Genomic DNA, 13,922 nt, shown 5'->3' with positions numbered 1-13,922 from the left:
TTAAATTATTTTAATGGAGTAGATCTCTACATAAGTGTTCTTTCCACAAAACTGAAACAAATGAAAACACACAAGGATGCATACGTCCAAACTCATCAAAATATAAACATTAAATATGTGTTTTTGTAGATCAATTATTCCTCAATTAAGCTTAAAACATAATATGAGCTCAGGATTATAAGATTTTTCTCATTTCTTTCAAAGGAAGTTTAAAATACAGATTTTGATGGAAAATAGTTTGCAAACTAACAGATATCCAGTATCAAATGCTAATTAATATAATATGAATACTGTTTAAATTAAACCCACTGAGATAAAAAATAAAAATTATCCTGTAGAGTGCAAAACTCTTGGTTATGTTATCTTAGCCATGAGGTTATTTTAAAATGTGTAATTTGTCTCATTTTTTATTCTTTTCTGGAAATTATATTTTTGATAGGTTCTTATGTACATTTCATTCTATTCAAAATTTTAAGCAGACATAGATGTTGACAGAGCCTCAAAATATCCATTAATTAAAATATTTATTAATTACTCAGGGAAAATAGTAACTTTACAGTAGAGAAACCTGGCAGATATTACCTCAATCCCAATGAACCAGGTTGACATCCCCAGTAATAATGAAGTATTGCCTTCATGTGCCACTAGATATGGTATGCTGGAAAGTACACACTAACTCTGTGGTATTCTTCTCCAAAATACATAACCTCAATCTAATAATGAGAATATATCAGACAAACTCGAACTAAGGGGTAGCTACAAAATACCAGTCCAGTCAGTACTCCAAAGTGTAAAGGTCATGACAGACAAGGAAATACTCAGAAACTGTTACAGATAGGAGGAGAAAAAATGACTAAATGCAAAGTGGAACACTGGACTGGATCCTGAAACGAAAAAAAAATAGAGTAAAAAAAAGTAGAAAAAATGGTGAAATCCTACTATAATCTGTAGTTTAATAATTAAATAGTACTCTATCAATGTTAATTTTTTTACTTTTGATCACTGTACCATGGTTTTATAAGTAGCTAATGTTAGAGATTTGAGTAAGGGGTACACAGAAACACTTTGTAATTATTTCTGAAATTATTTCAAAATAAAAAGTGAAAATAACTTATAGAGCTGTTTAAGTAGATATTAATACATTTCCATTCTAAAAGCAAAGTTAAAAATCTCAGTGGAACTTAAAATTTGCATTGAAAGAGTTCTCCCACTGCTCATTTGGAGCATGTTTATTACTTAAATTAAATCCAAAGAAAAGTCTGGGCTTACCAAATTTACTATTAATGAGAGTAAACACACTAAATGCAGGATAAGCCATGAAGATGTAAAGGTTTCATGTCTGCTGCTTTCTTTTGTTCTATTGTGATTTCCAAAATCACTGTAGTCTGCATGCCAATGGCAATTGCCTGGCTCAGTCTGGGGCAACATTTTTTTGCTTGTGTTCTGGAAAGCCATTTGTATTTAGTATGCAAAAAGAAAAGAAATGATCTTTGAATCAATTCACTGGATTTTAAGAGTAGCTTTCCTCACTGGTGCACATAATTTAAGTTAACTTCCTGCCAGACTGTGGTGCTTCATCTGCTTATCAGCTCTTATATAACTCATCTTAACAGATGGAAAATGTGGTCAAATGCAATTCATATTTCCTTGGTCAAAAATGTCTGTTAACAGCTCATTACTTTTCTTTCCATCTTCACACATCACAGCTACGTCCAATTTGTGGTAAATACATTTTTGTCAAAATTTCTACTGAATGTTTTACATTTGTCTAAAGCTGTAGCTGTTATACTTAATTAGGTTGCACTTTTATTGGAAGAGCTGGAGCTTAAAATCAATTTATTCTGCTCATTTAAACCTTGACCTCTTTTGCTTATAAACCAAAGACAAAAAAATACTGCATTTTCTTTGACAACTTTGCAGCTGTCATATTAAATATTAATAATGTGAATTATTATGGCTCATAATGCTAAATGTACTCATAATTGGGTATAATTAATGAAATTTGCATGGTAATGGAAGAATTTCTTTAAATTCTGCATCCTTTTCTCTTAAATTATTTAAAGTATAATTTTATTTATGAATCTAAAAGATGTTTTTTTTCCTATTGATGAGTTATGGTTGACTAGTTTGGTGTGTTAGTTAATAACACTCACCATAACTGTGTTATGGTTAACACAGACTATGAGGAAAATCTGTCATAGAGAACTTGGTGGCCCTTAGGAAGCACCATGTGTGTCCTATTGACATTGCACCTCTGCCAGCCTCAGCCTCAACACCACAATCTTTTTTTTTTTTTTCTTTTTGAGACAGGGCTTGCTCTGTCTCCTAGACTGGAGTGCAGTGGCGTGATCTCAGCTCACTGCAGCCTCAACCTCCCAGCCTCAGGTAATCCTCCTGCCTCAGTCTCTCAAGTAGCTGGGACCACAGGCAGATGTCACCACACGCAGGTAATTTTTGTATTTTCAGTAGAGAGAAGGTTTTACCGTGTTTTCCAGGCTAGTCTCAAACTCCTAGCTTCAAGCAATTCACCCATCTTGGCCTCCTTAAGTGCTGGAATTACAAGCATGAGCTGCTGCACTCGGCCCAACACTACAATCTTGAAACTACTAGTGCAACCAAGAGACTCTTCAAGCTCTGTTAGTTACTGCTAAGACACTGCCTCTCCACTCACTCTACCATCATAATTTGCCTAAGAGATCCTTCTACAAGAAGTTATCTGGATGTGCCCCACATTCCAAGAAGCCCTAGGCTCCCAAGTTATCCCTTATCCATGCAGACATTTATCCCATATAACTCAGTGCCTCTCACTATGAGCCACTTTCACAAGCATTCCTACATCTCCAGACATTCCACAGAGTCTGCTGGAACAGTGGGTCAGTTGCTCAACAAGACATCCTAAATTTTAATCCCTGATTTGCTTTCTCAACCTCTTTTTCTACTACTGTTAATACTTGGCTGTCCTCAAGGACATGGTGACCCCTGTAAACATCTCCAGTGATGCTATTTTCTATCCCAAAATTCAGATTTCAAACACCTACAGATAAAAGACAGGATTTCCTTGCACTTGCTGCGTACTTAATATTATTTTTCCTCTCTCTTTTCTAAAAGTCTCCAGGGTTTTGCAGCTCCTGTCTTGCATTACATGGCTTTTCTACTTTTCTAATCAGTCTGACACAGACTGATTATTTCAAAATACTTTCCTCCTCTCCTTAAAAACATCCAATGGCTCCTCATCTCTCTCAGAGTAAAATCAAAACTAAAAGGCTTTACAGGATCATAGTCCTCACAATCCTCTGATCCAATAATATTCCCAGCTACTTGGACTTTTGTCAATATTTTTCCACTGGTCTGCTTCCTGTTACTAAAACTTGTTCCTTGACCTTATTTACTCATAAGATTTTAGCTCTCAGTATCTATGCCCTACTACTACTTGACATTTTACTCTTTGTGACTCAGACATCTTGCCTCCCTCCCTGACTTCCTGACCTTTGCCATGTCAAGTGTCCTTTGAAAATGGATTGAGCGTTTCTAAGAGTTTCTTCAATCTCGAAATGTTCCCTATCTTTTATTTTTTAATTTTATTGTGTTTTTTGTGAAGGAAGCTCACAGCAACTGTTGACATTTTTTCTGTCTAGATTAACACTTATATGGTTTGGCTCTGTGTCCCCACCCAAGTCTTCTCTGGAATTCTAATTCCCAGGTGTCAAGGGAGGGACATGGTGGGAGGTGATTGGATCATGGAGGCAGTATCCTCCATGCTGTTCTCATGATAGTGAGTGATTTCTCAGGAGATCTGATGGTTTAAAAGCGGCAATTTCCCCTGCACTCTGTCTCTCCTGCCACCATGTGGGAAGGTGCTTGCTTCTCCTTTGTCTTCCACTATGATTGTAAGTTTCCCGAGGCATCCCCAGCCACGCAGAGCTGTGAGTCAATTAAACCTCTATTCTTTATAGATTACCCAGTTTGGGGTAGTTCTTTATAGCAGTGTGAAAACAAATTAATACAAACATATAATGTTATTAATGATGATTAGCCAAAGTGACCACTGTTTCAATTATTTAGTCAACAGACGTCAGTTAAGCATCTTCAAAGGATATCATGGGCACTCTAAGAGCTAAAGGTGATAATGACAAATGACTAACATATAACCAAATACCTCAAGTGCAACACTACGTTATAGAGAAGTTCAAAGTTTTAAAGAATATATTTGAATATAAAATGTTATTTGCAAAGGAATGAATTATTGTAAGGTTTATTAGGTGCTTTACATGGTCCAAAAAATGTGTTGAATTCAGGTCAAATAAATAAGTATTAGGCATAATTCGTTATCCAAAGGAGCTCATATTTTGTAGAAGATACATTGGATATGATTCCCATGCTTTTATGTCAATAGGTCAAATCTCTATTTTTTTGAACTTACATGATATATAGAAAATTTGTAAGGAGGTTTTCAATAAACTTAGAGTGTATTAAGTAAAGCAACAGAATATGTTTTTCTTTTTTCTTTCTTTCTTTCTTTCTTTCTTTCTTTCTTTCTTTCTTTCTTTCTTTCTTCCTTTCTTTCTTTTTTTTTTTTTTTTTTTTTTTCGGAGTCTAGCTCTGTCGCCCAGGCTGGATTGCAGTGGAGCAATTTCAGCTCACTGCAAGCTCCGCCTCCCCGGGTTCACGCCATTCTGCTGCCTCAGCCTCCCGAGTAGCTGGGACTACAGGCGCCCGCCACCATGCCCGGCTAATTTTTCTTTTTTGAATTTTTAGTGGAGACGGGGGTTTCACTGTGTTAGCCAGGATGGTCTCAATCTCCTGACCTCATGATCCGGCCTCCCAAAATTCTGGGATTACAGGCGTGAGCCACCACGCCCAGCCAACAGAATATGTTTTTAGGTAGGTTTAGTTTTGCCTTATAAGGTTGATTTTCTTTTGTTATAAGAAAGTTTCATTAAATGTCTAACTTGTTTTATGTAGTTGTATTTAAACAGATATATTCTCAGCTAAAAAGCAATATTCTATGATAGAGTGTTTTCCTATAGTTGTAAATAAAACCAGAAATAAGTGGCTTTCAGAAAAAGAGAGAAGGCAAAATCTTGCACACATTTTTGTTAGATTTATTCCTGAAAGTTCCATGTGCTTTGATCATGTTATAATATTACTTTTAAAATTTGGTTGTCAAGTTATTTATTGATAGTATAGGTAAAATACAGTTGCTTTGAAATTTGTTGTGTGTATTGCAAATTTTCTAGACTCACCTAGTTCTGCAAATTTTATGGTATATTATTCTGGATCTTCTATGCAGGCAATCATGCTAATTGCACTTAAAAATCATTTCATGCCTTTTTTTCCAATCTGTAAACCAACTGTCTTGGTATTCTTATTCTAAGTATGTGTGTGTTGGGCAAAAACTTGAAGAACTTTTGTTTCTTAAATATTTGAAGACTTGAGAAACATGTTGAAATTATCATCAATTAAGGATAAAACCCATCTTTCTACTTTTATATTTTATGACTTGGAGAACTCCACTTTCTTAAATATTTATAAAAATTGATATTCAACATTTTTACTTTCAATTAAGTAGATTTATAAAACATATTGAAACAATTATCAATCAGGGATAAAATAGCAAATTACAATATAGTTGATCCAGTCGAGTTAAAAGTTGGATTCAAATATGTCTGGAAATACTGAACCAGTGAGCAGAGTCAAAAGGTGATACTTCGGCTAGGAGATTTTTGCTGGCCAGGTGACTGCAATTGAGTAGATATTGTCTTAGACTGGACAAAGGAACACTCATCAGAGTCAAATGGCAAAATCTGTTGGAGGAAGCCTAGGACTCTGTAAAACACTGGGCATAAGCAGCTGCTTTAGGACTAAGGAACTACCACCCATAGTGGATATAAAGGCAGGACACAGCATGGGTCAGGACCCTGAGGACCAGAAATAAAGCAGTTCTGTTTTCACTTCTGGGACTTTCCACCATGGGAAAACCAAACTGCTGCTTTTATTCTCAGAGCAATGAGCCCAGTGTGAAGGGATTGTACCTCAGTGACTTCCTGGGCATCAGAGGGGCTGGAGCTGAGCGATATTTAAAGGTGCTTTATGAATTTCTCTAACTACCAGATAGCTTGATACAATTTCATTTTAAAAGGCCCAAATATTTGTGCTATTCTTATGAAATAAGGAAATTTTAGTTATTACTATAAACATAACAATATTTTGACCTTTACTCTGGGAAGCTTGGGGGCAACTTCACCAAGTTTTAGGAGTTTGGTGGAGCACTAGGCCCTGTTTGGAGGAATGTGGGGCCCCATCTTGTCTAAATGATTTCCATGTAATATAACTAGAAAGTGCTTTTTCAACCTTCAGCTATAGAGGTCCCTAAAGAGCTCACAGTATTCTTATATACTGCTCCTGATGGCATACTCTTTTTTTGATACTTCCAGGTGAATGTGATTTAAATGAACTGAAGAAAATAAAAAAAAAAATGAGGGAAGGCAATGCCTGCTTTTCCAACCACTCCCAGTCCCACCCCCAGGCCTGAACATGGATGGGTTTTAGAAATATCGTGCGTAAAGGAGGTCTGGGAATTGTGGAATAATGGCATACTCCAACGAACATGTCAGAAGAAATCTGTAGGAGAAACACGAAAGAGAGACCTCTTTAAAAAAGTGAGGAAAGAAATGATGTTGCTGAGATGTTTACTAAAGTTGACTAGAATAACACTCATAGCATTTCCTGATTCCCTGTGGCCAACTCATAGTGCCCTAAGATATAAAAATTTTGGCACCCTCTGAGTCACAGCGTTACGGTTCTGAGAAGGTCAGTCTGCTGGTAGAGTGATGAAACTAGGAAGAATCTACAGTGTCTGGGAACTTTGAGATTGGTAGCAATTGATGAGAAAGCAAATTCCAGCAGTGAGTACCACAAAATTGTACCTTCCTCCCCAAAAAAGTCTTATATATCCAGTCAAATCTTGGTGGTCAGCAGATCATGGAGCCGACTAATGAGGAGCTAGTGGAAAACATGAGCTGAGGACACATGCTTTTTCCTCACCCTGAAGTCACACCTGTATTTTGGAACACCACCTTAAAGACAGACACTAAAGCATATGGGAACCTGAAAAAGTGATAATTTAGGCAAGTCCTTCAAACAAGAGTGATATATACCTTTAGAGACCATTGAAAATATTGGACCTGATCAAAATTAACTGATTAGGATAAATACATATATTTTAGTTGTTGCTTTCTTTCTTCACTAATTAATAGGATTGGGACGAAAAAGAACCTCAGATTTCTAAGAAGTAAAACACAGAAAAAACGAGCAAACAAAAAGATGAAAAGCACAGGAAATACAGGATCTATAAAGTATTTACATAATTGAAAATACTAGCCTGAACAATATAGGGAGATCCTGTTTCTAGATTTTTTTTTTTTTAATTAGCCAGACATGGTGGCACAACCCATAGTCATAACTACTAGGGAGGCTGAGGAAGGAGGATCACTTGAGCCCGGGACTTTGAGGCAGCAGTGAGCCATGATAGTACCACTGCACCCAAGCCTGGGTGGCAGAGCACGACCCTGTCTCAAAAAAATAAATAAATAAAAATAAAAATAAAAAAATACTGTGAAAATATTTTGACATATTATAAAATAAGCAAATTACATCAACCATGCTGCATTTTTCTCCCTTTAGAAGTAATCAGAAGGTGCTTTTCTTACCAAAGCTTGAAACTTGCATCAACCAATGGAATATTTACTAAATAGGATACATATGTATCAAACCTGCACGTTGGGCACATGTACCCTAGAACTTAAAGTATAATAAAATTTAAAAAAGTATATATATTATATATACGTATATAATATACGTATATATTATATATGTATATATTATGTATATATTATATGTATACATATGTATATAATATATGTGTGTATATATTATATATGTTTATATATTATATATGTATATATATTTATATATGTATATATAAAAGAAACACCTTCTGTATTTTCACGAAGTTTATGCAGTAGAGAACAAGTATAAAATTTGTTTTAGTCTGGCATCCTTTTAATAAAGTTTATATAAAGAAAGTCAATATCACCTAAGAGCCAATGCTACATTCTTTATATCTTAAACTGGGTTTTCTAAAAAACTAAATATTTAGATTTAACGTGGAATAAAATATGAATGACCATTTTTAAATAAAGCTTTTTTAGTTGTAAGCATTTTAAATCAGCATACTTTCTTGAAGAAAGGTTATATTTGCAATCTGTATGAGAAGGTAGAGTTTTCCTAGTACTAAAGACATTGGTGCACTGTAGCATCTTTCCACTGTCTAAGAGACTTCACCAATTACATTGATTATAAAGGTCACTGGATGGTTCCATCCTCAGTTCAGGAAGTGTAAGTTTCCTAGCATCATTCTGTTTAACACTGTTAATCTCTGAAGTATTGTAAATTTTGTTTTATTTAAAAAAGAATAGTATATTGAGAATGCCTTTGAACATAGAGAATGTGCATCTTTAAAATGCACATTGAAGTGTATGATTAAGGTACATGAAGTATAGAATGAAAATTTCACCAAATACGTATATAATAGATGTTAATTATTGATGTCAGTTGAAAATAAATTAATATCACTTTGTAACATATTCATGTTTAATTATTTCTTTCATACTAAATTTTATCCTCCACTTTATCCAAATAATTAGTTAGAGAAATAAGCTGAAGAAATAGCTTAGATACCTATTAAATAGAGCAATTAAACTTGCTTATTTTGATGAAACCTTATCTCTTGAGTAATTCAGGCTGCAGTGGAACATAGCATTGAATACATCAACACACAGCAAAGATATTATACAGGGTTTTAGCATTTAGTTAGCATCAAACTTTAAATTGTAATTTTTTCCCTACAAATGCTTTACTTTTACAGCACATTACCTCATTTTATGGAAACTAATGAAATTGAGTGCTATCTATTTCCATTAAGTGAGATAATGTGCCTTAAAATGATAGTCAAAGTTTTTCATAGATGATTTTTTTTTCTTTGCTGCCTTTTGTTTGCAATCCACTTTTAAGGCTTTAAATGGGATTTGGTTCCCTACTAATTTTATCATTATCAATTGGAAAACAGTAGCTTTTCCCCACCCTGTGTTTCTAATGGAGCTTGAAATTAACATTGTGTTTTTGTTGTAATTTACTTTTTATTTTTGTGGTGCTGAAAATTGGAAAATGTTCATAGATTTTTTAAAGAAAACATTGCTCAGTGTTTAAGTATGTCAGCTAAATGAGAATTTTTTTAAATGCTAAACGTGGTGGGTAGATTCTGATTTTGATCTTATCAAAGTTATTTTAATTGGTTTCCTCATAAATGAAATGTAAATGATAACCAGAAAAACATGAATAGATTGGTCACATTAATCTCTGGGTGAATTCTTCGTTAACATGAAGAACACGGGCTCCCTTAAATTAAAAGGAAAATGACCCCATTGCCATTCCTCTATTCAGTTAGTCTGCTTATATCTGGCCTAGTATGAACATTAACCTTAAGAAGCTAATTTTCTACACTGGCTGTGTTGAGGCTGCTGGTTATAGGATTTTGATTCGTGTGTACTTAGTTTGTGCAGAGGAGAGGAGTCCATGCATTACTGAGTAGATTCAATACTAAATCTATTCCCTCTTCATTTTCGTTCACCTATTGACCTCCTAACCACTCAGTTTCTTCAACTGCCTTATCCAAAAAGTGAATTCAAAAATCATTCTCTATGATTAAGATTCTGATTTATCCTTGATAATGTATTTTTTACTTCTGGGAAATGAGATTTTAGTATTTAAAACTAAATGGATGGAAAGTAAAAATATGTGGTGTTAATGGGATATTTGTTCCTGACTTCTATTAGGTAATGCATTGGGGTCACTGATTTTAGCCAAAGGTGTTTGAGTTTAGTTGTAGTCAGTCTAAAGTAATATTCTCAGTCGTGGCTGCTCATCAGACGAGATGCAGTAAATAGTCACACCAAGGTCCCAATGACTAAAAATGTAATTTGATTGATCTGAGATAGGGCGGGTCGTGACTGACATACATACCTCCAGCTGTTATCACTGCCATGCAGAAAGTTGTGAGAACCTCTATCATAAAATATTAACTGCTATTTTTAGCATCTAAAGCAATTGTACTGAATACTTGGCTGAATGTCTACGAATCTTGGTGGTGTAAGGTCAGAGATCTCCATTTGATGGTTTAGGGCCATTTTGGAAAATCCTTCCCACTATTCTGGCCTTTTTAAGTTAGAGTGGCCACAACTCTCCTTGACTTGAAATGGGTACGAGGTTTCTAAAGGATGGTAGTTCGATCCATGATATTTTCAAATTGGCCAACAGTTCCTGTTATAACTACACCATCCCCAGCAGGACTAAAAAGATGACTTTTGCTTTTTAAATTTATTTTGAACGTTTACCCAGAGAAGACCTTTATCTGAGGCAGTTAGTATACTTTACTTTACGGATTGGTAGAATGTAATTTGCACATAATGTCATTTGAAGCTTTAAATACAGCTAATTTTTCAGGCAGATTTTTTGCCTAATGGTTTTAACAGCTGCCCACTCATTACCGACATAGTTTAAATATACAAGGAGGTGATGATCGATGAGGTAATTACAGTGAGGGTGCAGCAGTTTCCAAGCTAAAGTAGGTGTCCTGACAAGACCCAAATTGTAGTTAATTACTCCTACCCATCTCAATATGCTAGGTAAGTGAAAATTGATCAAGTGTCCTGTTCCTTTGCTAGTATGCTTGTGCTGTATTGGCAGGGGTAAGGGTAGGGAAGGGCATCTGATGGGTGAAGGGAAAGAGCAAGCAGGTCATTAGATAAAACATGAATATGCATATATGATATGGCACACATTCTCATTGTTTCTTCTTTAGTAAGAATACCCATCTCCTTTTCAGCCATTCTTGATCATTCTTTGCTTTAATTTTTTAAAACTATGTGAAACATTCTTTACTTCGGGATAAATTATGTTAACTCTTCTGAGCTACTTCCTTTAATTATTCTGTTAGTTTTGGAATGTCTTCAAAAAGAATATAGCTATGTCATTCATATATAACATGCTTTTCTTTTTAGTTTTTTAAATTTACAAATTTCTCTCTTGTCAGATGGAAGATATTTGAAAAGCCAGATTGTATTCCTTACATAGGACATAGCACATTGTCTGTAGTTCATATAGATTGCAATTCAATTGGAGCATCATGGGAATACCATAGAAAGAGTGTAGGAATCTGAGGTTGAAGTGCTTCTAAGTGGTTTTGTGGTCCGTATTATAGCAATGTAATATCCTCAGCTATTCGATTTCTAATTTGTAAAATAATCTATTTAGACTCACAATACTCTATTGTGTGTTCAGAGCCATTCCTCTATGATTAGTTCCTGAGTGGCATCTCCTAGTTCTTTTGCAATGATACATTAATGCATCTATCTCACACATTGTCAGATGGAAGATATTTGAAAAGCTAGATTGTATTCCTTACATTAAGACACAGCACATTCTCTTCAGTTGGAATAGACTGCAAGTTCAACTGGAGCATCCCCCAAATATTACAGGAGTGTAGAAATCTGAGGTTCAATACTTTTAAGTGGTTTTGCGGTCTGTATTGTAGCAATGTATGAAATACGTTAATTAATGTATAATTGCAAAAGATCTAGGAGATACTCCCTTGGGGAAAGGCTCTGAACACACAATAGAGTATTGTAAGTGATGCCCATGAGGGAATAGGCATACTTATTTCTGTACAAATTCAGGTTCAAAGAAATATTGACCCCAAAGTATACATTTTCCATGATTCTGTACTTCACAGCTTTGGTGATTATAAAGGGCATTTGACATTTGCAAACCTTTCCTAATTTATGTCTGGCATATAAAGCAAAACAACACCTTTAAAATAAATTTTCACTCATTTTTTTTTGCTAGAACTGAAGCCCTAAGCGGTACTCAAATATTTTTGACTGAGGTCCTGAAAACCAACAGAACTTTCCAAAGAACATTTCTTAGGGGCTGGAGCATTCCTTGCATCTTCTCTAGTCACTGGCAGGGAATGTGTTAAACCATATAATAATTTTCATTGTTGATTTGCTGTTTTTTTAAATTTTGTTTTAGATTCAGGGTGTACATGTGCAGGTTGGTTACATGAATATATTGCATAATGGTGAGGTTTGGACTTCTAGTGAACCCATCATCCAAATTGTGACCATTGTATCCAATAGGCAATTTATTAACCCTCTATGCCCTGCCACTTTCCCCTTCACCTCCCCGCATTGGAGACCCCAATTTATATTATTTCCATCTTTATGCCCATAATTACCCATCATTTAGCTCACTTTTAAGTAAGAACCTGCAGTATTTGATTTTCTGTTTCTGAGTTATTTCACTTAAGATAATGGCGCTAGCTCCATCTATGTTGCTGTGAAGGACAGTATTTCACTTATTCTTGTTGCTATATAGTATCCATAGTGTGTGTATGTGTGTGTATATATATATATAAAAATATATATATAAAAATATATATAAAAATATATATATAAAAATATATATATAAATATATATATAAAAATATATATATAAATATATATAAAAATATATATATAAATATATATAAAAATATATATATAAATATATATAAATATATATATATAAATATATATATAAATATATATATAAATATATATATAAATATATATAAATATATATATAAATATATATATATAAATATATATAAATATATATATAAATATATATATAAATATATATATAAATATATATATAAATATATATATATAAATATATATAAATATATATATAAATATATATATAAATATATGTAAATATATATATATGAATATATATATAAATATATATAAATAAATATATATATATCACATTTTCTTCATCCAATCAACCATTGATGTACACTCAGTTTGATTCCGTGATTTTGCTCTTAGGAATACTTTGGTGATAAACATACAAATTCAGTTTTCATTTTGATAAAATGATTTCTTTTCCTTTGAATAGATGCCCAGTAGAAATGGAATAGAGAACCCAGAAATAAAGCCAAATACATATTACCAACTGATCTTTGATACTATTGACAAAAAGATTCCCTATTAAATAAGTGGTGGTAGGAAAACTGTCTAGCCATATGCAGAAGAACAAGACTGAACCCCTACCTCCTACCATGTAAAAATTAACTCAATATGAATGAAAGCCTTAAATGTAACTATAAGACCTGAAACTATGTAAGAATCCTAGAAAAAATATAGGAAAATCTCTTCTGGACATTGACCTAGGCAAATAATTTATGACTAAGACCTCAAAATCAAATACAACCAAAACAAAAATAGACAGATGGGACTAAAACTGAAGAGCTTTTGCATCACAAAGCAAACAGTAAAAAAGTTAACAACCTCCAGAATGGGAGAAAACATTTGCAAATATGTATCTCACAAAGGACTAATGTCTAGAATCAATTAGTAACTCGAACAAGTCAACAAGAAAAAAAAGTAATCCCAGTAAAAAATGGGCAAAGGACATGAACAGACTCTTATCAAAAGAAGACATAAGAGTATTTTGAAAATCTAAAGCCATTTCCTGATTCTATCACAGCCAGACCAGTCCCACTCCATTAAGCTTGCCTGCTATTCATGAAATGTGGTGCTTGTAGCACTCTAGCCAAAATGAATTTCTCACAACTTTCCTTCTTCTTCACATCACTGACCCCTCATTTGGTGTGGGCTAGATGTTGAGGGTTATGAAGAAAAAGAGTATTTGGTGTTTATTTTTATAATTGGAAGAATGAGTGAGCCAAATAAGTTTGCTGACCATGCATAGGAAAAGATTCAGATATTGGGTGATGGTAATGTCCACATCACTTCCTA

At 34.0% G+C, this 13,922-nt stretch overlaps 1 annotated feature.

The window, feature by feature from the left end:
- Positions 1,103 to 1,654: an enhancer, noted in NCBI's record as "OCT4-NANOG hESC enhancer chr18:65888487-65889038 (GRCh37/hg19 assembly coordinates)". NCBI's record gives its function as "activates a minimal SCP1, AML or CMV promoter by ChIP-STARR-seq in primed H9 embryonic stem cells {active_cell/tissue: H9 hESC(primed)}" and the evidence as "EXISTENCE:reporter gene assay evidence [ECO:0000049][PMID:30033119]".

The sequence above is a fragment of the Homo sapiens genome, chromosome 18 (genome assembly GCF_000001405.40).
Source record: "Homo sapiens chromosome 18, GRCh38.p14 Primary Assembly".
In the NCBI taxonomy this organism is placed as follows: Eukaryota; Metazoa; Chordata; class Mammalia; order Primates; family Hominidae; genus Homo; species Homo sapiens.
This window is presented reverse-complemented; position numbering and strand designations above follow the sequence as displayed.